The sequence below is a fragment of the Homo sapiens genome, chromosome 19 (genome assembly GCF_000001405.40).
Source record: "Homo sapiens chromosome 19, GRCh38.p14 Primary Assembly".
NCBI lineage: Eukaryota > Metazoa > Chordata > Mammalia > Primates > Hominidae > Homo > Homo sapiens.
The window spans coordinates 49,085,229-49,109,926 of record NC_000019.10 but is presented as its reverse complement, the minus strand read 5'-3'; the positions used below and the strand labels follow the sequence as shown (position 1 = coordinate 49,109,926).

The window sequence follows — 24,698 nt, the reverse complement described above, 5'->3', positions numbered from 1 at the left end:
TAGATTTGGGAGGTCAGTGCCCTCCTCTCCTGTTTCGTCAAGTCCCAGCTGCCTGGCTGAACCTCTGTGAACTTGGCCCAGTGGAAGTCAGTCCCGCCTGACTTCCTCATGCTAAATGGCAAAACATCCTCAAGGAAAAGGCAAGGGTAAGTGCGAAACACACCTGTGTGTTCTCTTAACGGATCACACCCCCTCAAGCCTCATCAAAGCTGGCCACTTTCTGGCGCCTTTTCTAAGTTTTTGCCTATTGTCCAGCCTTTATGTAACCAGTCTGTGCCATGTTAGTCCAAAATGGGCTTCTTGTAGCCAATACTAGAAGTCTTATAGTTGCAGTATCTGGGATATCTATGAAATATAGTAACTAGAGGTATGAAGTTCTTTTATTCCTAAGTCATTTCTTCCAGGGTCAGTTTTTCTATTTATCTTGTGGTCTGTTTTTCCTCAAATGTCTGGGTATCCTCCGTTGGTTAAACTGAAGCCATTAAAAAGCAGACTGAAATCCTGCGTGTCAGTCACAGACCCTCTGAGTTATCAGGCCAAGTTTGCCTTCAGGCTGAGACGCTTCTACAAGACACAAGCAGGTCTGAACACAAGCAGGTTTGCCTAGGCACCCCCGGCCCAGCTCCCAGGCATCCTGAGTGCCAACAGGGAGGCCAACTGTTCTGTACCCCGCTCTCCCTCTGGCCTCCCACCCTTGCTCTCCTGGAGCTGCAGCCTTGGCCCTCTAGGGTTCTGCAAGGCTGACAGGCTTCCTTCCCTGCACTCACCAGACTGAAGTGTTCTCACCACCAATGTCTTTAATCTTTTGTCCAGGAATCTGCTTGAAATCTCAATTGCTGGTGGAACCTCTTCTGTGTTTCTGCTCGTTGCTCCTCTGTCACTACTTATTATGATGTGGGTCCACCCTTCCTGCTCTGCCCCGTCTCACCCGTGCCCAGTGTATTCTGCCTTTCCTCACCCTGTGTGCCGCTCTCCCTTGCAGATGGTAGCTTCCCTTGCATATTCAAAACTGCGGCTTCCCCTGAGTAATCAAGCCCCCTCCTAATTCCCAGCCCCCCACCAAGACAGGGGTATGGTCAGCCCTGAGGAATGTGTGGCAGAGATGAAAAAGAAAAAAGGGTGAAAAACACAAGGGAGACAAGGAGCCCGAGAGGCCGCCTCACCCCACTTTCAACAGCTCTGGCTACTGGGCAGAGCCAGCCTCATGTCCTAACGCTCAAGTTTTAAGTACACCCTGGAAACCAAACCAAGCAGGGCTATCAAGTCAGGAACAACCTTCTGGGGAAAACAGAGCAGTGAGGAAGAAACCGAGGTGCCCACTATCAACAGGAAATTAATTTTATTTTTAAATCCAAGGGGCCAGAACAAATGAGACACCTACCCTTGGAGGACAAACTCAAGTGGCCAAGGTTGGGGGAGGGGATGACAGCAAGGGGCTGGGCAGGAACGCGTCCAAACACAGCAGATGGAGAGGACGACCTCTTCACTCCGGCGCAGCCTCCATCAAATACCCATTCTCCGGAGCCAGGTAGCCGTCGCCGCCCTCAGACTCCATGTACATGTCTCGGCTGTCGTTGCCCAGACCCTCCAGCCCGTTGTCCTGGCCACCGCCCCCACCTCGGGCCTCATCCCTGCCCCGCTCACTGCCCCGCTCCCCCCGTTTGTGCTCGCGGTCACGGTCACGGTCACGATCCCGGTCCCGGCGCCGCTCGCGCTCGCTCCGGTGGCTCCGCCGTCGCTCCCGGTCACGATCCCGGCCCTTTTCCTCTGGACCGTCAGGGCCGTCAGGCCCGAGCTCCCCTGGAGGCCCATCATCAGGGGGCGCGTCACCCGCCTCGGAGGGCTCCGCCATGTCGCCACCGCCGCCACGCAGCTCCTCCTTGCGCTCCCGCTCCCGCCGGGCCCGCTCCCGACTCCGGCTGCTTCGCCGCTTCCGGTCCCGGTCCTTGTCCTTGCTCCGCTCCCTGGAGCGCCTCCGCTCCTCCTTGTCGCGACTCCGTGAGCGCCTCCGCCGGTCCCGGGAGCGGGAGCGTCGCCGTTCTCGCTCCTTGTCTCGCTCCCGGCTCCGCTCTCTGCGCTCCCGCTCACGGTCCCGGTCCCGGTCCCTGTGCGGAAGCGGGGAGGGGCCGGGCCTGGATGAGGTGGGCAGACCTGTGTGGCTGGGCTCCCCCCGTGACCGCCCCCCACCCCAGGACACCGGTCGCCCAATCTTACCTCTCATCGTAGCGGGAGGTGTCATCGCGGCCTGAATGCCGGATGTTCACATCAGCCCCTCCTCTTCTGGTACCACCGAGGCCTCCTCCTGGGGCAGGGCAGACGGACAGAGGGTGAATCTGGGCAGGGACAGGGCCCGGAGGAGCAGAAATGAGCCGACTCCAAGAGCAAAGGGCAGGAAGGCAGCCCCTGGCTTAGTGTTCACAGGGCCGGGTCCCCCCGTGCAGTTCATCCCGCGCACTCCCATCACAAGACAGCCACGTCTTCTCTAATTAACTCACACAAAGCGTTCGCTAGGCAACAGCCGTTACTGGAACCCATGTCTGGCCCCAAAGCGCATCATCTTAACCATAGCGCACTTCACAGCCTCCTCAAAACCCTCCCTTCCAATCATCCTCGCCCTCACAGAAACCCGAAGCCAATGATCTTTCCACCCAAAAATGTGATCTGCTTAGAAGCCTTTGCTGGCGTCCCCCAGCCTAAGGTCCAAACTCCTCGTCAACTGGTGGTAGAGGCAGCAAGAGCGGGCCCTGCTAGCGTCTGAGCCGCGGCTCTTGGCTGCGTGTCCCAGGCCTTTCCCAGTGTCCCCACGCTCACCTTCCTGCCAGTGTCTGTGCATTCTCCTTGCCCTGGACTGGTCTCCCCTTCCTTCTCTGGTGAACTCACGCTCACCCTTAACGCTAGCCCGAACATCCTTTCTCGGGAAGTCTCTCCTCACAGTCCTATGTACTCACAGTTGCAGAAACGCTTCCTTCCCCTGGAGTTTCAGGTTTGCTACCTGAGTCGACCCCTACCTGCCTCTCCCACCAGACTGCAGGGCACCGGAACCGTGGGCATGCCCAGCTCTTGCTCACGGTACCAGCAGGTGGCGCTGCAGCTGGTATAGAAAGGTGGATGTGTGTGTGTCAAGTGAATAGATAGATGAACAGCCCCAAGGCACAGATGATAACCTCATGGTTCTGATGGGGAAACAATCTCAGATCAAGTCACTGGCCCACAGTGACTCAGCAAAGAAGGTGCAGAACTGGGCTGTCACTGCCGTCTGCTGCAAAACCTGCCTTCTCAAGCGCTCCTCTATCTCGCACTGCCTGGAAAAGCTTCCGTGAGGCAGGGCTGAGTTCTGTATAGAAAAGAGGCTGCAGGGAGACATTCTTATAGAAGCAGGCAGCGGACCAGGCACCTGCCATGTCACAGGCACAGGGCAGCTAGACTAGCCTTTCCTATATTCAGGTCATGACCCAGAAATGAGTCCCATCATCAATCTGATGGGTTGCAACCAACATCTTAAGAAACAAAACAGCAGAATACAACTATATACTTACTACATAGAAAAAACTGTTTCCTCAAACTTTAGGTTACAGTATTTCTGCGGGTGCACCGAGTCAAGATGTTATTGGCTAACACCAACAAAAAGTTTGAATGGCAATTGAACTAGAAGATTCTGAGATTCTGGAAAGACTGAGATTCTAGCATTTTCCCGCCCCAACAGGAAACAGCAGAGCTATAAGAACCCACTCCACCCCAGAGAGACCAGAGTAAGGTAAGAACATGCCTGGTAAGCTCCGAGGCTCAGCAGCTGAGAGCGTGGTCTCCCTAGCACAGGCGAGTCCAGAGCCAGGACACAGGGCTGGGAGGCAGGACAGGAGCCCCAAGTGGCTACTACTGCCTGGGTGTCTGCCCAGGGACCATCATCTTCTCTGACAACTGTCACTCAGCTTTGCAGGATTCAGTCCTCAATAAGCATGCCTGAGCAACAGGACCCCAGGCCCAACACTGAGTCAATCAAATGTGCCCACCCCGAAACAAGAGACTCATCCAGGACTGAGTGTAAAGCTGGGGCCTGTGGCCTGCTGCGCTGGGCCAGTGCAAAGAGGCATGGGACCGACCTAGCTGCATGGAGGCAAACGAGGCAGAAGCAAGCTGTGGGCTGTCACACATCACAGGTGGGTCGCCCCAGTTTTTTTGTTTTTTGTTTTTTTTTTTGAGACAGAGTCTTGCTCTGGCACCCAGGCTGGATGGAATGCAGTGACTCTATCTTGGCTCACTGCAACCTCTGCCTCCCAGGTTTAAGCAATTCTCTGCCTCAGCCTCCCGAGTAGATGGGATTACAGGCACCCGCCACCACGCCCAGTTAATTTTTGTATTTTTAGTAGAGATGCGGTTTCAACATCTTGGCCAGGCTGGTCTCGAACTCCTGACCTCATGATCCACCCGCCTCGGCCTCCCAAAGTGCTGGGATTACAGGCGAGCCACCACGCCTGGCCTGGTTGCCCCAGCTCTTAACAGCGTCAGCTACCAGGTTCTCAGGTCCACGGACATCACATACCTCCGAACTCCAAAGGATGCCCATGATTCTACATCAACAGGGCCCTTTATGTTTCAGGAAGCTCAAGTTTATTTCTGATACTTGCAGCCAAACTGACCTTGCCTGAGACAGCAAATGACAATGAGGAGACCGAATGCAGGAGGCTCAGAGGGCAGAGGCTGCCTCTGTGTTGCTCAACTAGAAGCCCGGCACACAGCTGGTGATCCAATAGGTACTTGCTGAATCAGTAAAAGAGTGAACAAGAGCAACAGCAAGCAGCAGAAGCAGATGAGCGAGTGACATTTACAACCCCAGCATGCGTCACTGCCAAGCTGGGCGCCCAGTACACTGAGCTCAGTGAACTCGGGGTTATTTCCACTAAGAGGAGTACAATGAGGCAGGAAAAGGGGACCCCCAGCTAGCAAGGGCGGACGCCAGCATGTGGGCTCAGGCCTCTCCAGGCTGGTGCCCCTGCTCCTCACAGTAACCCAGAACGAGGAGGCAGGCAGCTGTCAGAAATGTGATGGCCACAAGAGAGAGAAGCCGGAGATGAGGACGCGATGGGAGAGGTGGGCCGGCAGGAGACAGAGAAGCAGAAAGCAGCAGAGAAGGGAGAACAAGGCCACCAGGCCCAGGGCCCCCGAGAGCCCGTCGAAGGCAGGATGTGCTCACCTAGCCGCCGGGGCCTCCAGCCCTTCACGGTTCGGCCCCTCTCCACGTCCACAAGGACCCTCCTGCCATCAATCTTCTTGCCATCTGCGTGTTTGTAAGCGGCTGTAACAGATGTGGGGAGGGGGAGGGGAGAGGAGTCCCCAGAGGGTCCTCTAGTCAGGACAGGCCCAGCTCTACAGAATCCCCGCCCCGTGTCCCCATCATCACGCACACGCACACGCCCAACAGACAGCCAGGCAACTGACAGCCAGACCAACCCTCTCCCAAACCGGTGAAGGGCCTGCTCCATCTCAGCGTCTGCTTCCTCTCAGCGCCCCAACCACTCCTGGTCGGGGGAGACGTCCACCCTCACCCGCCACCCCCTAGGCTCCCCGGCCCTTCCTCTCCCACATGATGGAACAGCCCCCTCCCGCCAGGGCGGCCAAAATCGCTGCAAAGAAACTGAAGGTTAACTCCACGCTGGACTCTGCTGTGGGGGAGGGGGCTCCTCCACAACCCCAAGCATGCACCCTGAGACACCAAGCCGGGGCAGGAGGCCCAGCTGGGACGCTCCGCACCCCAGACCACACCGGTTTTTTCTGTTTTTGTTTTTTTTGGAGGGGGGTGAGTGTGGGGGGAACAGACATCAGAACAGAAAATGAACCAGAAGGGGGTGGGAGAAATCTTCAGGAAATGGCAGGGAGCAGAGAGGCGGGTTATACACTCCCAGGGGGCCTGGCGGGGCCCCTGCAGCAGGGGAGAGGGGCAGTGGAGGAAGCATGGGGAGCCGTGCGGTGCTACTGAAAATCCCTGCCTTACCTGAGACGACTGACTCTGCCTCCCCCCAGCCCTGCCCCATCTCGCCCTCCACACCCCCGGCTCAACACGTGCTGGGAGCGCACCCCAGCCTGAGCCTGCCAGGAAAGGGGAGTCGTAGAGGGGAGACGGGGGAGAGGCTCACTGCTGCTCTCGGGCAGCGCGTAGCAGAAGGCAAGCCTGAGGCCCTGGCCTGTGATCAACGTGGGGCTGTCATGAAGGCCAAAAAGTCCCCGTTCCCCCACCCAGCCCTGGCCTAGGGGGCTGTCCTCAACCAACCGTAATACCCTGCCCCGCCCCAGCCCGCTCCCCCCCAAATAACAACCAGAGGAAGAGAAAAAGGTGCCATTTACCGATGCCGGCCTTGCGGGTGTCCAAACCGAGCGGGATGGGGGGGGCTCGGCAACTCCTGGGGGCCTGGCGAGGAGGCGGGCTTCCCGGGGGGGGGACACGGGACCGCTTACCTGGAGCCCCCAAGCTTACCTGAGCACGCGCACAGACCCCACACCCACCACCACGGGGTCAGCTAAAGCTACAGGGAGGGGAAGTGGGGGGTTCTAGGGAGCCAGGAGAGGGAGAGGAACCACATCTCCTGTACCACCTGGAGACAGGCAGAGGACGTGGTAGACCCCAAAGAAATCTCAAGGAGGCCTTAGAGTGGGGGAGACGAGGATTATCATCCAAGCTGGGCGCTGGAAAGCCCTGGACTATCTCGTGTGAATTTACAAAGAAGGCTAGGGAGGCCTCAGAAACCTGTCCGCCCTCACCAATCCCCGAGTCACACTGAACTAGGCACACAGCCCACCCCCTCCGAGGACCAGGAGTGACTTCTCCACCTCCAAATCCATGCTCCCTCCCACCAGCTGCGTCTGCAGAGGCTGGCACACAGGGGTCCAGGAGACGGTGCTGCCCGTGCTCTGAGGAGGGGCCGCTTGGCCCCTGAACCCACGGGAGGGGAGTGGGGAAAGGCATTTAAGGACCAGGATCAAAGTCAAGCGAAGGAACCCCGCTCGGGTTCAGAGTCCCAAACCCCAAAACAGGCCCATCCCGGGAGGAACAGCAAAGAAAACATGTGATTGTGTTCGTCTAGGCCTCTCTCTCTCTTTCCCTCTCTCAAGTCTCTAGACAGTGGAAGGTTCTTTAGTAAAAACCTACGACACCTTCAGCTGCTAGCAGCCTACCCCTTGGTCCCTCCCACACCCCAAGCCCCAATTCCATGCACTTTAGGGAGCTCCTGACCACCTCTGGAGAGCTGCTGGACACCACAGCCAGCCCCCTCGGGAGGCCTCAACCACAGTAAGGAAGACAGAAAGGGGGCAGAGCACCCCAAAACTAGCAGCCAAAAAGACTCTCCAGGGCCAGCACAGTAGCAGCCCCATAGAAAGCACGGGGGCAGGGAGGGAAGGCTGAAGGGCTCCAGTGGAGCCCTGGCCTGGAGCCCTGCCCTCGGTGTTCCTGCCACCTCGCCGCTGACATCACGAAGCCGGGTCATCAGAGGCTGGGTGGAACCCAAGCGGAGAGGCCGCCGCCTTTCCCACCAGGTTCATCCTTCCCCTCCTGGGATCAGCAAGATTCTCAGAGAGCATACGGATCGGGGCAGGAGGGACAAAGGGCACCCAAACAAGGAAAGGGCCATGGGTGCGGGGAGGCTACGGGGGCGACTGGGGTGGGAGGAGGGGCGCCTCGCTGCTCCTGAGCTGCCTGGCTAAGCTGGGCTGGTGTGCGGTGCTGAGTGATCTTACCCATGATACAAACCCTTATACCAACCATACACTGAGGTGTTGTAAGGGGAGCGTAAGCATCAGCTGCAAGCCAGCTGCGTGGTGGCTGCAGTGACAATAAGAACAGTCAATTAATACGGCGGCCCCTGGACACGCCGCAGCCCTGCCCACCCTCCCCCACCCATCCCTGCCCATGTGGACGCCGCGGCAGCCTCAAAGGGGGCTTTGGAACTGTAGGGGCAGGCGCTCAACATGCCTATCACCCCACTGCCCGCTGAGGAACAGGGTGGGGGGCCAGGGTTGGGGAAGCGGAGGGTCGGGTGGCCCAGCCCCAGTTCTACTGGGGGGGGAAGAGAGGGCAGGTTCAAAGGCCAGTCCTCATTGCAACCTGGCCACCCCCAACTTCAGTGGGGGGAATGGGGGAGGTTCCCCCAAAATCCGACCCCTCCCCCCACCTCCAGCTGGCCCCAGCCCCCCACCCAGTTCCCTCTTTGCCCCTGAGGTTCAACGTGTGACACTTACCTCCCCAGGTTCACACACACACACACGTTGTGGGGGATTTGGTTTTTGTTTTTTAAAAAACACGTATATAAAAAAAAAAAAGATACATCAGAAACAGAGGGAGGAGGAGAAGAGACATCGCTAATGTCAGGTGTGGCAGGGTGGGGGAGGGGACAGACTGGGAGGGGCTGGGGCAGCAGAGAAGTGAGAGCAGGTCAGAGGGCAGGGCTCGGCGGGAGGTACTCACAGTGCATGTCTCGCTCGTGTTCGTACTCGATGAAGGCATAGCCACGGGGCTTTCCTGACCGCTTACTGTAGACCATGTGTATCTGTGGGGCACATGGGGACAGGGGTGAGTCCTGCCACAGGGCGGCTCCGCCCCACCAACCCCACAACAGCCTGCACACCAGGCCCTGGGCCGGATGAGGCCTCAGACCCTCTCTGTCCTTCAAGAGCCCTGAGTGACTTATGTTCTAATGGCAGGAGCAGAGGACACAGAGGCGGCTTCCTGGAGAAAATGACACTTAAGCTAAGACCTAAAGAAAGAAGAGAGATGAAGGAAGACAGTGAGGTGTCAGCCTGTCAGGTGGAATAGCAGTAACTCCAGAGGTCCAAGGGCCCGGGGGCAGGAGGGCAGGAGGCTGGGGATGCGCTTCGGCAGGGCTGGCTCATGTACTGATGACAGAGAGTCCCAGGAGATGAAGCCACAAAGGTGGGCAGGCCCGGGGTCATCAAGCGCCCCAATGCCAGGCCGAGAAGTGTGGTCGCTGAGGAGCTGGGAAGGGTGTTGAGCAAGGAAGGGCCAATGTGGGTGGTCTACGTGGAGTCAGGAGGACACAAATGGAATTAGGGAAACAGGAGGGAGTTGTGAATGCCAATGGGACGGGAATTCTTTTTTTTTTTTTTTTTTTTGGAGACAGAGTCTTGCTCTGTTGCCCAGGCTAGAGTGCAATGGCTCAATCTCAGCTCACTGCAACCTGCACCTCCCGGGTTCAAGCGATTCTCCTGCCTCAGCCTCCCAAGTAGCTGGGATTACAGGCGTGCGCCACCACACCTGGGTAATTTTTTGTATCTTTAGTAGAGATGGGGTTTCACCATGTTGGCCAGGCTGGTCTTGAAATCCTGACCTCATGATCTGCCCTTCTCGGCCTCCCAAAGTGCTGGGATTACGGGCGTGAGCCACTGTGCCTGGCCAAGGACAGGGAAGTTCTAAGGGAAAAAGAAAGGACACGTGCACAGCCAGGGAGGCTTGAGAGAACGTGGCACGATGAGGGATGCGTCCCATCCCGAGGATGGCAGCAAGAGAAGGGAGGAGATGGGGTGGGGTGGAGGTCCATGAGGCCACACAGCTTGGGGAAGAGCCCTGGAAGGCCAGATGGTGGCAGCTGGACCTGTCCTAACATGCTAGGGACCCATGGGATGCTGTCAGCAGAGATGGGGTCAGCTCTGGATGTCAGAAAGACCCCTTGGGGACCATGTCAGGGAGAACAACGGGCAAGGCAGGGCTGTTGAGACAGAGGTGGCCAGAATGAACCAGGGAAGATTTCTGGGAGGTAACAGCATTTGAGCTGGTCCCTAAAGGATGGCTAGTTCGCCATTCACATCACTACCAGTTGGCGACCAACCTGTATCATGGATGAACCTGGGACCCCACAGCCTCCAAAACACAACCAAGATTCCTGACTTGAATGGATCAGAGGGACAAGGGTGGGGCCAAGGTTGTCACTGGGCTGTGCAAGGCAGAACAACGTGTGTGTGTGTGTGTACACATATATACACATGCACATACACACACACACACAGGCACGAGACACCACACTCGGCTAATCTTTTGTATTTTTGTAGAGACGGGGTTTCGCCATGTTGGCCAGGCTGGTCTTGCCTCCTGACCTCAGGTGATCTGCCTGCCTCGCCCTCCCAACATGTGGGATTACAGGCGTGAGCTACCACGCCCAGCCTACAATACTTTTTTTTTTTTTTAAGATGGAGTCCCACTCTGTTGCCCAGGCTGGAGTACAGTGGTGTGATCTCGGCTCACTGCAACCTCCGCCTCCTGGGTTCAAGCAATTCTCCTGCCTCAGCCTCCTCAGTAGCTGGGATTACGGGCGCCCGCTATCATGCCCAGCTAATTTTTGTATTTTTTTTTTTTTTGTACAGACCAGGTTTCACCATGTTGGTCAGACTGGTCTCGAACTCCTGACCTCAGGTTATCCGCCCACCTCGGCCTCCCAAAGTGCTGGGATTACAGGCGTGAGCCACCGTGCCTGGCCCAACAATACTTTTTTTTTCCTTTGTGTGGAGAACGGGGTCTTGCTATATTGCCCAGGCAGGTCTCGAACTCCTGGGTTTAAGCTATCCTCCCGCCTCTGCCTCCTTAAGAGCTGAGATTACAGGTGTGAGCCATTGCACCCGGCCTGACATGTATAAATATTTTTAAAAGACGTATCAGAAACAGAGCAGGGAGAAGAGACATGGCTAACATCAGTTTGTGTGTAGGATGGCCTCAAGCCCTCACTACTGCCCAGTGAAGGCATGCGTCTCCCATGTTAGATAAAGGAAATCAGACACAGAGCACTTCAGTGACTTAAAAGAAGATTGGTAAAACAAAGCCTTCCTCTAAAACGGGACTCAGCATAGGTATTCTGCCAAGACCCAGAGAGTAGATATTTCCAGCTTGGACGGCCGTATACTGTTGCAACAATCCAACCCTGCCTTACAACAGTAGCAGCCAAAGACAATGTGTAAACAAACAGACCTGCCTGGCTGAGCAGCAGGAAAACTTTAAGTCTGTAGTTTGCCAACCCCTGCTCTCAACCAACCACCAGCAGTCATTACTTCTCATTTTACTTCTGCTGCCCAAGGTCTGCTGCATGGAGATACAGTCAGGATGCATAAATCCAGGCCCTGAAATGGTGTGAGCCATGCTCAGGGCTGGGACCTCTCTCCCTCCCTCTCAGGATACAGCCCCTCCTCCATGCACCCCCAATTCAAACACCCTGACCCACTCCACTTACTCTTTTGATAGGTCCGTACACCTCAAACTCTCTCCGGAGCTTGGATTCTGTTGTGTCATAATTCTACAAGGAGATGGATATGACGTTAAATGGGAGAACAGAGCTGTCCCACAGCCCCTGGAACATTCCCCTGTACCTAGCCTATTTGACCTTTGTGCCAGACCCAGGCTCTCAGCAGCGTGGGGTTCCAGGAGCTAGGAGCTGGGGACTTACCACTCTCGCCACGAAGAGAGTCTTGAAGGCATCCCCCTGAGCATTGGGATCATTGTGAGGGTCCCCTGTGCAGGAAGAAAGGAATTTTATAAGTTGAAGGTGTCCATGGTCTCAGGTAGCAAAACAAATACGATGGGCAGAGGCCAAGAAGAAAACGGTGGCATTGGGAGAGGCCCCTAACTGGAGGAACATGGGTGGTGACCTGGCAACCTCAGGGACGCCCCTCTCTGAACCTGTTTCTCTGAGGCACAGTGGGCTTTATCAGAGTGGCTGAGAGATAATCCAGGCTGCTGAGGAGAGGAGGTAAGGCTGACTTCAAGCTGACAGGATGTGGGCAGGCCCAACTGCCATTTCAGACCTACATAAACCCTAAGGGCCCTATCGCTCCCAGATGCAAGGTGATCCAAACAGTAATAGCCCAACTGGGCCTCCCTGGAGATGCAGCTGATGCCCCCAGGTTCTGAGCTCCCTCCTGTAGGCAGGGCCACACTGCCACCTACTGGACACAGACTGCAACTACAGCCCACAGGAAAACCTGAGACCAAGCTGCCCCAAGGCTAAGAATGAGAGCCAGGAAAGCAAACACTAAGTAAGCTCTGCTTTCCTGTCTGTGCCCTGTGTCTCTAAAAAGGAACCCAGGAACTGACTAGCGTCAGATCAGATTCTCACTCCAGCCTCACTACTGTGAGGCAAACTGTTCTACCTGGCTACTAAGGAATAACAATCTCCAAAGAAAAGAGCCAGGAATCTCCTAAGAAACCAATTTCATAGGTGATCCTGCTGGGTCAGGCCTGGGAATAAGTCCTTTTCACCAAATATGGTGGCTCCAGCACATAATGACCCTGACTCCTGCCGGGGCCTTAAGGACACTCTGCCGGTTCTTCCATGGTATAGTGTTTCCCTCGGAAGCCCTGTCACATTCTGGGAGAGCATGAGAAAAGGAATAACATTAACCCATTTATGCCAGAGGTTGCAATTTTTTGAATTGCAGACACGTGTGAAAAATCAGACCCTGGTGATGACCCGAGCAGTAGGATATAAATAACTCCCACATGCTTAGCGTTCCAATAATGGAACATTAGACATATAATTTACTGAACACGTACTATGGCCCAGACACAGTGCTGGACACTGATATTTATTTATTACTATTTTGCAAATGGAAGTAAAACAGAACAAACTCGAGACACAGAAAAAGGGAGGTGTTAAAGTGGCGAAGGGCCAAGGCAGACTTCACCTCTCACCCCGGGCACTTGAACTACCAGGCTCCTTCCCCGAACCCTCGGGTGCTACCTTTTCAGGAAGACAGTGTGGGTGTTGCCAGAAGCTAGAGAAATAAAGTCTCAGATTTTTTTTTTTTTTAAACAGAGTCTTGCTCTGTTGCCCAGGCTTAAAGTGCAATGGCGCAATCTCGTCTCACTGCAACCTCTGCCTCCGAGGTTCAAGCAATTCTCCTGCCTCAGCTTCTCAAGCAGCTGGGATTACAGGCGTGCACCACCACATCCAGCTAATTTTTGTATTGTTAGTAGAGATGGGGTTTCGCCATGTTGGCCAGGCTGGTCTCGAACTCCTGACCTCAGGTGATCCGCCCTCCTCGGCCTCCCAAAGTGCTGGGATTACAGGCATGAACCACCGCGTCCCGCCAGATTTGTTTCTTATGAGAGAATTTAACTACAAGTATAAACTAAGGTCAAGATGACTTTAAGGAATGTACTTTTTTTGAGATGGAGTGTCACTCTTGTTGCCCAAGGTCAGTGCAATGGATGGCGAGATCTCGGCTTACTGCAACCTCCGCCTCCCGGGTTCAAGCGATTCTCCTGCCTCAGCCTCCCAAGTAGCTGGGATTACAAACACACACCACCACACCCAGCTAATCTTTTGTATTTTTAGTAGAGACGGGGTTTCACTATGTTGGCCAGGCTGGTTTCGAACTCCTGACCTCAGGTGATCTGCCTGCCTCGGCCTCCCAAAGTGCTGGCATTACAGGCGTGAGCCACCGCACCTGGCCTAAGAATATTTTAGAAAACAGAAGCCTAAGCCACAATTTAAGGGAATCGCTATCTGGGACAAATGGAAACGTCTGAAAACAACTCCATCTCAGCGTTCTCTCCACCCACTCCTCAAGTTCCTTGCCAGGCTGGGCACAGTGGCTCACACCTGTAATCCCAGCAATTTGGGAGGCTAAGGCGGACGGATCACCTGAGGTCAGGTGTTTGAGACCAGCCTGGCAAACATGGCGAAACCCCGTCTCTACTAAAAATACAAAATTACCAGGGCATGGTGGTGTGCGCCTATAGTCCCAGCTACTCGGGAGGCTGACGCAGGAGAATTGCTTGAATCTGGGAGGTGGAGATTGCAGTGAGCCGAGATCATACCACTGAACTCCAGCCTCGGCAATAAAGCGAAAAAAAAAACAAAAAACAAAAAACGTTCCTTGCCATACCTTATCCCTGAGCGTTGTAATTTTCTATGGCCAGGTCTCTCAATCTGCACTGGCTTTTTTTTTTTTTTTTTTTGCACCAGCTAACTCTCATTCATTCAATAGGTAATTCTTTTTATTCGCCGATGTTTGTGCTCTTGTAAGTAAGTAATTCTTAAGCATCTACTATGTGCCTGGAAATGCTATAGTTGTTGGGGATTTCGCAGTAAACAAGACAAAAAAAGGTGCTGGGCGCAGTGGCTCACAGCTGTAATGCCAGCACTTTGGGAGGCCAAGGCAGGCGGATCACTTGTGACCAAGAGTTCAAGAAGACCAGCCTGATCAACACAGCGAAACCTCATCCCTACTAAAAATACACAAAAAATTAGCTGGGTGTGGTCCAGCTACTCAGGAGACTAAGACAAGAGAATCGCTTGAACCAGGGAGGCGATGAAGGTTGCAGTAAACCGAGATCGTGCCACTACAGTCTATCCTGTGCAACAGAGTGAGACTGTCTCCAAAAAAAAAAAAAAAAAGGTGTCTACCCTCATGGGGTTCATATGCTAATGAAAGAGGTAAATAAGGAGATCCTATGATCACATCAGATGACGACAGAGAATAGAAACGGGTGACTTTACAAGGCAGGTTAGAAAAAGCCTCACAAGATGCTAACATTTAATGAAGAGCTGAAAGCTGTCACAGCAGCAAGGAAACACACCCGGCAACGCCAGACAGCAGGCATTCTAACAGTTACTGTGGAGCATGACAGTGGGACCAATGAATGCTGCAGGGCTGGGGAGTGGACGAAGGCCAAACAACAGCTGAGCTTCCTGAAGGGCAGCCAGAGGGAAACCACCCCAGCACACTGTGTGAGTTCCCTGGAGCACTTGCTTACCCGGGGTGGGGGGGCCACAAATGTGACTAAAGGTAAAAAGCAAATGCAGCAAAGCAATGGTACCCCCAAGTCCTGAAGATAGAGAACAAAAGCTCAAAGAAGGTAGCACAGACCCAATGCCGGGCAGCGCCCCACAGCCAGCGTATGCGTGCAGCGCCCTGACGGCAGCTCTCCCTCAGGACATCACTGGTTGAGGGCTCATCTAAGTAGCAGCCCAGAGCAGAGACTCAACGGAAGTGGGTCGTGGAGTTGGGAATTAGGCTTTGAGGTACTCGAGGTCCCATCTTGGAACTCTCACTCTTTGGAAGCGTGCTTGCCTCAACAAGCCTCCATTTCTTTATCTTAAAAATGGGAGTAGCAACCCCTGCTGCACTTGGAAGCTGTGAGAAAGTCAGTAACACCAAGTACAAGCGCTCAGCAAGGAGGCACCGTCCCCTTGACGGGAGCTGTTCATTGTGACAAGGCACAGCAAGCTTCTATAGCTATGAGTGGAGGCTCTCAAGGGCACAGAAACCCTACTGAACTTGATCCATTCTTTTATTTCTTTTCTATTATGGAGAAGTTCAAGCATTTAATGGAGGCAGAGCAGTATAACGAACTCCCATGAGCCCGCTTCCATTATCAACACGTGGACGGACTTGTTTCATCCCTATCCTCCCACAGCCCACTGCATTTTTTTGAGACGGAGTCTTGCTCTGTCACCCCGGCTGGAGTGCAGTGGCATGACCTCAGCTCACCCCAACCTCTGCCTCCTGAGTTCAAGTGATTCTCCTGCCTCAGCCTCCCAAGTAGTTGCAATTAGAGGCCCCTGCTACCACACCCAGATAATTTTTATATTTTCAGTTGAGACAGGGTTTCACCATATTCACCACTCGAACCTGGATCACTCAAGTAATCCTCCCACCTCAGCCTCCCAGAGTGCTGGGATTACAGGCGTGAACCACCACGACCGGCTGGATTATTTTAAATGAAATTCCAGATAGCACACCATTTTGGTCTCTAACAAAGGCTTTTAAACATCATAACCACAGTGCCACTATTACATCTTAGAGTTAACATTTACTAATTCCTTAACCTCATCTATGATCCAGTGTTCAAATTCCTCAATTGGAACTTTTTTGTTCGCCCAATTGGAACTTACTTGTTTGTTTTTTGAGAAGGAGTCTTGCTCTTATTGCCCGGGCTGGAGTGTAATGGCGCTATCTCTGCTCACTGCAAACTCCGCCTCCCGGGTTCAAGCAATTCTCCAGCCTCAGCCTCCCGAGTAGCTGGGATTACAGGAGCCCACTACAATGCCTGGCTAGGTTTTGTTTTGTTTTTGTTTTTGTTTTTGTTTTGGTATTTTTAGTAGAGATGGGGTTTCACCATGTTGGCCAGGCTGGTCTTGAACTCCTGACCTCATGTGATCTGCCTGCCTCAGCCTCCCAAAGTGCTGGACAACAGGCATGAGCCTCCGTGCCTGGCCTGGAACTGTTTTTTTTTTTGTTTTTTTTTTTTTTGAGATGGAATCTTGTTCTGTCACCCAGGCTGGAGTGCAATGGCGTGATCTCGGCTCACTGCAACCTCCGCCTCCCAGGTTCAAAGGATTCTCTTGCCTCAGCCTCCCGAGTAGCTGGGATTACAGGTACACATCACCACGCCGGGCTAATTTTTGTATTCTTAGCAGAAACAGGGTTTCACCATGTTGGCCAGGCTGGTCTCGAACTCCCAACCTCAGGTGACCCACCTGCCTTGAAGGATTACAGGCGTGAGCCACCACGCCCGGGTGGAACCGTTTTTAAAAAGCATTTCTGGCCGGGTGTGGTGGCTACGCCCTGTAATCCCAGCACTTTGGGAGACCGAGGCGGGCAGATCACCTGAGGTCGGGAGTTCGAGAACAGCCTGACCAACATGGAGAAACCCTGTCTCTAAAAATACAAAATTAGCCAGGCATGGTGGTGCATGCCTGTAATCCCAGCTACTCAGGAGGCAGGGAAATCGCTTGAACCGGGGAGGCAGAGGTTGCAGTGACCCTAGATCGTACCACTACACTCCAGCCTGGGCAATAACAGCAAAACTCCATCTAAAAAACAAAAAACAAAAAATGAAAAACACTTTTGGCTGGGCATGGTGGCTCACACCTGAAATCCCAACACTCTGGGGGCCGAGGCAGACAGATCACCTGAGGCCAGGAATTCAAGGTTGCAGTGAGCTATGACTGCACCACGGCAGTAAAGCCTGGGCAACACAGCACGACCCTGTCCCTAAGAACAAAACAAAACACAACAAAAAAAAAAGAGGCTGAGCACAATGGCTGACACCTGTAATCCAGCACTGAGGGAGGCTGAGGCAAGAGGATCACTTGAGCCCAGGAATTCAAGACCAGCCTGGGCAACATAGTGAGACCCCGTCTCAGTTTTAAAGTTTTTCCAAAAAAGAAAAAAAAGAAGACCCACAGTGGATGTGGTTGGTTAAGATATAGACAAACTAGGCCGGCTGCGGTGGCTCATGCCTGTAATCCCAGCACTTTGGGAGGCTGAAGCAGGTGGATCACCTGAGGTCAGGAGTTCGAGGCCAGCCTGGCCAACATGGTGAAACCCCATCTCTACTAAAATTACAAAAATTACCTGGGCATGGTGGCGCACGCCTGTAGTCCCAGCTGCTCAGAAGGCTGAGGCAGGAGAATCACTTGAACCCAGGAGGCGGAAGTTGCAGTGAGCTAAGATAGTACCACTGCACTCCAGCCTGATTGAGAGAGCGTGACTCCGTCTCAAAAAAAAAAGGAGGGGGGTGACCAGGCACGGTGGCTCATGCCTATAATCCCAGCACTTTGGGAGGCCAAGGTGGGCAGATCACAAGGTCAAGAGATCTAGACGATCCTGGTCAACATGCTGAAACCCCGCCTCTACTAAAAATACAAAAATTAGCTGGGCGTGGTGACGCACGCCTGTAGTCCCAGCTACTTGGGAGGCTGAAGCAGGAGAATCACTTGAACCTGGGAGGCGGAGGGTGCAGTGAGCCAAGATTGCACCACTGCACTCCAGCCTGGCGACAGAGCGAGGCTGCCTCCAAAAAACAAACAAACAAACAAACAAACAAAAAGACATAGGTAAACTAGTTAAGACTGTGACTGTGTTGTCTAGGCAAGAGGTGACCTGGGTGGTGATGATGGACATGAAAAGAAGGGTCAGATTTGTGACATTTAGAAAATAACACAAATAGGTCTTGGTGAGAGGCTGAGCAAAAGGTTAGAAAAGGTGTTAGAAACAAACTGCATGGCAAAAAATGAGGTCATGACCGGCACAGCTGAATGTCTATGTCCCAGAGAAAACACCCAAAGGAAACCAGGTTGGTGGCGAGGGAAAACCCCTGTGGTTTGGACACTGAGTCTGAGATGCCTCTGAGGCAGGACATCAAGACAGCGTTCCGACAGCCAATGTCCAAAGAGTGCACCGCCAGATGTCTCTGTCACGCTTCTGCGTAAGCACCGTGAGGAAATCCTGCACTCCAGGATTTGGAGGAAAGGGATTCATCAAAGTTCACAGGTATAGGAGGAAAACCTGTCTTCTCACTAGAGTCATGTTCTGAGAAGTGCGTCGTTTGATGATGATGTCGATATGCCAACATGAGATGGCACTTCCACGAGCCTAGACAGCATACCTAACACTCCTGGGCTAGAGGGTGCGTCCCACTGCTCCGAGGCCAAGCGTGTTACTACACCAAATACTACAGCAATCCTAACACAATAGTAAGTATTTGTGCATCTAAACGTTATCAAAGCATAGAAAGGGTACAGTAAATAGACGGTATAATCTTTTTTTTTTTTAAGACAGATTTTTGCTTGTTGCCCAGGCTGGGTTGCAGTGAGCCGACGCGATCCCGGCTCACTGCAACCTCCGCCTTCTGGGTTCAGGAGATTCTCCTGCCTCAGTCTCCCGAGTAGCTGGGATTACAGACGCTCGCCACCACGCCCAGCTAATTTTTGTACTTTTAGTAGAGACAGGATTTCACCACGCTGGCCAGGCTGGTCTCGAACTCCTGACCTCATGATCCGCCTGCCTCGGCCTCCCAAAGTACTGGGATTACAGCGTGAGCCACAGTGCCTGGCAAAATATGATATAATCTTATAGGATCACCATCACATCCACGGTCCCCTGCTGAGTGAAACACTGCTATGCTGCCTGTGACTGTACAGTTTTCACTTTCAGAATAAAGAGCCACTGGAGGTTGACATCTGACCCTCTTATGAGTTTGGTTAATGGCAACAACACACCTGTCTTGTACTCCAATTCCTCCTCTATGTGGAGGGGATGGAACATCCTCAGCCCAAGGGTTGGGGACCTAAGGTTAGAGCCAGGACAGACCACTATCCCACAACCCACCACTTCAGCCTGTGACACCCAGCTGGGTTGTGGGAGCCCCTTAACTGTCCTCCCATGCAGGAGGAGCCCAAGGTACCAGGGGTCTCCCTTCCTGCCAACTTTTACCCTATGTTCTGCTGCTGAAAAGCCTAAACCAAAAACAGTGCTTGTGAAGTGGCAGGGGCTAAACAAATGAACTAACAACCCTGTTCCCCACAACACAGGCCTTAGGGAGACAGCAGGGTCCTGGGTATGACCTGGGAAGAATACAGAGGGTTTGGGAGAGGAGAGAGCCAAATGGTGGATGAGAGACTTACACATTTTAAGCTCTGTCTCCACTTCTTGCTGTCGCCGCTCAATCTTTTCCCGTCTCTGTCAGGAGAAAGGGGAGGTGGAGAAGTGAATGCAGATAGAAGTGCCCTAGTGTCAAGGATCATCTGGAGACAGTGGTAAAACAGGGGGTCAGGAAGCAAAAATGACATACTTTCCTCTCCATGCGCTCCTCTCGGGTTTCAGCACGAGTTGGAGGAGGGGCATCTCGAGGGTCCTGGGAACAAGAAGAGAGGTGACAGGGTGGGAAGGACTGGGGGAAATGGCAAGGGACACTCACCAAGGAAATAAACAGGTTAACCCTCCCACCCCCACCCCCTACAAAAATAAACATCCACGCACACTTCCCCTGACACAGTGGAGGGAGGGGAGTGGCACAGATCAAAGCAAGGTCTGCAGCCACGCACAGTGGCTTCCACTTGTAATCGCAGCACTTTGGGATGATGACACAGGGAGAATGCTTGAGCCTAGGGGTTTCAGACCAGCCTGGGACAACACAGTGAAACACCATCTCCACAAAAAATTTAAAAATTAGCCAGGTGTAAAGGCCGGGTGCAGTGCACACGCCTGTAATCCCAGCACTTTGGGAGGCCGAGGCAGGCGGATCATGAGGTCAGGAGATCCGAGACCATCCTGACTAACATGGTGAAACCCCACCTCTACTAAAAATACAAAAAATTAGCCGGGCGTGGTGGTGGGCGCCTGTAGTCCCAGCTACTCGGGAGGCTGAGGCAGGAGAATGGCATGAACCCAGGAGGCGGAGGTTGCAGTGAGCCGAGATCGCACCACTGCACTCCAGCCTGCACAACAGAGCAAGATTCCGTCTCAAAAAAAAAAAAAAAAAAAAAAAATCCTGTCTCAAAAACTAAGCATGGTCCATGGACCAGTACTATCTAAACTGTTGCTGGACTGTGATAAGTACAGAAACCAGGACTAAGTGTTCAGGAACTTCTACAGTAATTTCACAATTTGATGTCCACTGACTCTTAATACAAATTTGGTCTTTTATTCTGTAGGTCTTTTTTTTTTCTGAGACGAAGTTGTGGTCTGTTGCCCAGGCTGGTGTGCAATGGCGCGATCTGGGCTCACTGCAACCTCCGCTTCCCAGGTTCAAGCGATTCTAAGCCCTGCTTTCCCCCCTGTGCCCGTCTCTCTAAAAGGAACCCAGCAACTGACTAGAATCGTTCAAGCGGTTCTCCTGCCTAAGCCTCCTGAGTGAGTACCTGGGATTACAGGCACACGACAGCATGTTGGCTAGTTTTTGCATTTTTAGTAGAGACAGGGTTTCACCATGTTGGCCTGGCTGGTCTTGAACTCCTGACTGTAGATCTTTCTTTAAAAAGTAATTCTATCATATTTATCAAAAGCAAACAGATTGGAAACAGTATCTGTCCTTCACCAAAGACAGTTTGAAAAGCACTGGTACAGGTGACATCTAGCTTTATAGTATTTAGGAAACACCCTGTCTTCCATATTTAGGAAAGACATTGCTTCTCACAGCTCCAAGTATCACTCACATTGAACAAAGTGCCAGAGGATGTGATGGGAGTGGAGTGATGGCAGGGCCCTGCTTATGAGTGCCAGTGAGGATGACCAGGCCTAAAGCAACATAAGCTGACAGAACAGGGCTCCAAAGCCCACAACTGCACACCCTCTGAGGGCCAAGGCAGCTCTTAAAGGTCTCATCAACCACACATTAAATAGGAACTGGCTGGTAGGGTGCAGTGGCTCATGCCTGTAATCCCAGCACTTTGGGAGGCCAAGGCAGACAGATCACAAGGTCAGGAGTTTGAGACCATCCTGACCAACATGGTGAAACCCCGTCTTTACAAAAAATACAAAAATTAGCCAGGCATGGTAGCGCGTGCCTGTAATCCCAGCTACTCAGGAGGCTGAGGCAGGAGAATCCTTTGAACCCGGGAGGTGGAAGTTGCAGTGAGCCTAGATCACGCCACTGCACTCCAGCCTGGGCAACAGAGCGATACTCCATCTCAAAAAAAAAAAAAAAAGGTCGGGTGCGGTGGCTCACGTCTGTAATCCCAGCACTTTGGAAGGCCAAAGTGGGCAGATCACAAGGTCAGGAGATCAAGACCATCCTGGCTAACACGGTGAAACCCCATCTCTAAAAATACAAAAAATTAGCCAGGCGTGGTGGCGGGCACCTGTAGTCCCAGCTACTCGGGAGGCTGAGGCAGGAGAATGGCATGAACCCGGGAGGCGGAGCTTGCAGTGAGCCGAGATCACGCCACTGCACTCCAGCCTAGGCAACAGAGCGAGACTCCAAGTCAAAAAAAAAAAAAAAAAAAAAGTACCTGGCTCCCAGGCATGGTGGCTCACACCTGTAATCCCAGCACTCTGGGAGGCCAAGGGGGGTGGATCACCTGAGGTTAGGGGTTCGAAACCAGCCTGGCCTACATGGTGAAACCCCATCTCTACTAAAAATACAAAATTAGCCAGGCGTGGTGGTGCATGCCTGTAATCCCAGCTACTTGAGAGGCTGAGGCAGGAGAACTGCTTGAACCGGAGGCTGCAGTTGGCTAAAATCACGCCACTGCACTCCAGCCTGGGCAACAGAGCAAAACTGTCTCATAAATAAATAAATGGTAACTGGCACATGACCTGCATCATCAAAGGGCACCTACCACCCGCCTGTGCCCATTAAGTTAATTGGCCAGTAATATCTCTCAAGTGCGGGTTCACCAAGGGTGGCAAATCCCACTGAAGACATACCTTTCTGTTATCTACGAAATTCTGCTCTGCAACTCCCTCGCCTCCAGCTGCCCTTACCTACCCAATGCTAGAACGTTCTTCTTGTAACTTCCGACTGTGTGCCAGCTTTTCTCAGGTGTGCTCTGATGCACCTAAGAGATGACCCTTGTCATCCCATTTCACAAATAAAAACACAGAGGTCCAGGAGCCTAAGTCATTCATTCCTATTTATCCCAAAGGTGCAGAGCTAAGATCCCCATCTGCAGTTTTAAGCCCTCCAATACTCAATACTGGGTGCTAAGCCTTTATGAACATCATCTTATTAACAATAAAAGTAGTAAACAGAGTAACAAAGGCTGACATGTGCTGACTGCTTGGTGCCAAGCCCCCTGACATACAGTTTGCCATTTAATTCTCCACCAACATTATAAGGGTGCTACCACTATCCCCTTGCTAAAGATAAAGAAACCAATGCATTAAGAGGATACAACATTTGCCCAAAGTCAGAGCTGATAAATGGTGTGGGTTAGGCATGAATCCTCAACCACTACTCACTGAATTTTCACAAAAATTCTACAAAAGGTGTACTATCAACCCCACTTTTTTTTTTTTTTTTTTTTTGAGACAGTCTTGTTCTGTTGCTCAGGATGGAGTGCAGTGGCGCGATCTCGGCTCATTGCAACCTCCGCCTCCTGGGTTCAAGTGATTCCCGTGCCTCAGCCTCCCAAGTAGCTGGAATTACAGGCACCATGTCCGGCTAATTTTTGTTATTTTTAGCAGAGACGTGGTTTCACCATGTTGGCCAGGCTGGTCTTCAACTCCTCACCTCAAGTGATCCGCCTGCCTCGGTCTCCCAAAGTACTGGGATTACAGGCGTGAGCCACCGTACCGGGCCACAACCCCACTTAAAAAAAAAATTTTTTTTTTGAGAGACGAAGTCCTGCTCTGTCACCCAGGCCGGAGTATAGTGGCACAATCACAAAGCACTCCAGCCTCCGACTCCTGGGCTCAAGCAATCCTCCCACCTCAGCCTCCTGAGTAGCTGAGACTACAGACGCACTCGACCACACCCGACACCCGGCTCCAACCCCATTTAAAACAGAGAAACTGAGGATCACAAAGGTTAAGCCCCTCGCTTAAATCACGCAGCTGGCAAAATGGCCAGAAGCTGGACTCGCAAATCCAACCCGTTGCTCCCCAGAACCCAAACCATTCCTGGCCTGCTCAGTGAACTCACCTCAAACTCTCGAATGTACGGCGCAATGCCACAATAAGGTTGATTGTGGTGTTTTTCATGTGGCAGTTTCTCCAGGGGTGGCAGGTATGGAATAGGGTCACGGGGGGCAAAGAGGGCCAGAAGGTTGGGCGGCAGGAACTGGGTCATCTTGCCAAGTCTGAGAGCAGAAGCAGGACAGCCTTAGGTTAGATCGGGTCTGCACAGAGAAAGCCCCTGTTACTCCTTGACTCTCAAAATAAGAAAGACAGGAGAAAAGTCTCGGAATTAAAACAGGCTCTGTAAGGGCAGAGAACAGTCCTGTGTTGCGGAGAAAAGGGTACGTCTTGGTGGGGGTGGAGGTGAAAGGCCGGTAAAGAAAACAAAAATAACGGCTGGAAAAGGGTTCCTGAAGAGTGAAGTCTCAGAGTCCTCTGACACGAGCTGTGGGGCGGAGAGGTTCCCTGGGAATTTCTGGGGAAATCAAGGACCCGAGGAGGGAGGCCCAGAGCAGCTGTGGCTGCTCGTCCCGTGCCGTGGAGGGCAAATTACGAGATGCAGTTTGCAGGGTCCTGGGGATCGGAAGTTTCCAAGCAAAGAAAGAGAAACATAAGGAGCGAAGCCCCAAAACCAAGTGCTTGTGGGTAACAGACCTGGACCCCGCAAAAAGCGAAAGGAATTATGGGTAAGGGTCCAGGACAACATAGACAAACGAAAAAGAAAAAAGGCCACACACCGCAAGGGCCTGTGGGTAGGGAACCACGAGGGCGCTGTGGGAAGCGGGCGTGGGTGCCCAGAGATTTCGGGGTCCGGGAAAGGGATGCAGAAGGGACCTGTGGCGGGGACGCGGGAAAGGGGCCTGGCCGCGGGGAAGAGGACCGGGCCCACCGCTGGGGCTTCTGGGTAGCGGCCCCGCACCCCGTCGGGCCACTCAGTCACACTCACTCACCGCGTAGCGCCCTCCTCGCTCTGGCGTCTGTCCGGAGGCTCGCGGCGGCTGCGGCAGCCCCTCAGCAACAACAACTCCTGCTTCGGCTTCCACTCCGGGGGCGTCCACGTCCGTCTGATTCCGTCGCCCGCTAAGCGAGCGCACCAGGCCGCTGCTCAGCCACCCGCGCGGCCTCCGATAGCGACTGGAGCAGGGGGTGGGTCCCGGCCGCAAATCCCTCCGCCGTCCTCACTGCGCACGCGCCGTGCGGTGCCAACAACAACCCACACACTAGGACCCGGCGCTGCCGCGGGCACAGCGCACGCGCGAGGTCACTACCCCGCCTTTGGGCACCTTGAGTACCTCAGCCGCGGGGGGCTGGCTTCTGCACTGCGCGCGCGCGCTTGCCCCAAGCCGCCCCTCCACCTC

General features: G+C 53.4%; 1 protein-coding gene across 5 annotated transcripts, besides 4 other annotated features; it reads right to left on the bottom strand.

The window, feature by feature from the left end:
* Positions 1 to 1,322: 1,322 nt before the first annotated feature.
* On the bottom strand, positions 1,323 to 24,476 carry SNRNP70 (small nuclear ribonucleoprotein U1 subunit 70). 5 transcript variants are annotated; one of them, NM_003089.6, is made up of 10 exons: positions 24,291 to 24,476; positions 23,366 to 23,522; positions 19,574 to 19,636; positions 19,407 to 19,461; positions 11,436 to 11,500; positions 11,223 to 11,285; positions 8,456 to 8,537; positions 5,192 to 5,293; positions 2,215 to 2,302; positions 1,323 to 2,132 (listed from the first exon to the last, which is right to left on the bottom strand). In NM_003089.6, the coding sequence occupies exons 2-10, from the start codon at positions 23,510 to 23,512 to the stop codon at positions 1,484 to 1,486; spliced, it is 1,314 nt and encodes a 437-aa protein (NP_003080.2). In that variant the 5' UTR covers positions 23,513 to 23,522; positions 24,291 to 24,476; the 3' UTR covers positions 1,323 to 1,483. The 5 variants fall into 5 exon arrangements, with proteins under 5 accessions (NP_003080.2, NP_001287998.1, XP_011525542.2 ...); NM_001301069.2 differs by having other exon boundaries at positions 1,323 to 2,105; XM_011527240.3 differs by lacking the exons at positions 11,223 to 11,285; positions 11,436 to 11,500; positions 19,407 to 19,461; ... (1 more) ...; positions 23,366 to 23,522; positions 24,291 to 24,476 and adding an exon at positions 10,964 to 11,093.
* Positions 2,290 to 3,131: an enhancer, noted in NCBI's record as "H3K27ac-H3K4me1 hESC enhancer chr19:49610053-49610894 (GRCh37/hg19 assembly coordinates)". NCBI's record gives its function as "activates a minimal SCP1, AML or CMV promoter by ChIP-STARR-seq in naive H9 embryonic stem cells {active_cell/tissue: H9 hESC(naive)}" and the evidence as "EXISTENCE:reporter gene assay evidence [ECO:0000049][PMID:30033119]".
* Positions 8,302 to 9,155: an enhancer, noted in NCBI's record as "H3K27ac-H3K4me1 hESC enhancer chr19:49604029-49604882 (GRCh37/hg19 assembly coordinates)". NCBI's record gives its function as "activates a minimal SCP1, AML or CMV promoter by ChIP-STARR-seq in naive H9 embryonic stem cells {active_cell/tissue: H9 hESC(naive)}" and the evidence as "EXISTENCE:reporter gene assay evidence [ECO:0000049][PMID:30033119]".
* Positions 9,156 to 10,011: an enhancer, noted in NCBI's record as "H3K27ac-H3K4me1 hESC enhancer chr19:49603173-49604028 (GRCh37/hg19 assembly coordinates)". NCBI's record gives its function as "activates a minimal SCP1, AML or CMV promoter by ChIP-STARR-seq in naive H9 embryonic stem cells {active_cell/tissue: H9 hESC(naive)}" and the evidence as "EXISTENCE:reporter gene assay evidence [ECO:0000049][PMID:30033119]".
* Positions 24,291 to 24,380: an enhancer, noted in NCBI's record as "active region_14926". NCBI's record gives its function as "activates an Ori minimal core promoter by ATAC-STARR-seq in GM12878 lymphoblastoid cells {active_cell/tissue: GM12878}" and the evidence as "EXISTENCE:reporter gene assay evidence [ECO:0000049][PMID:35858748]".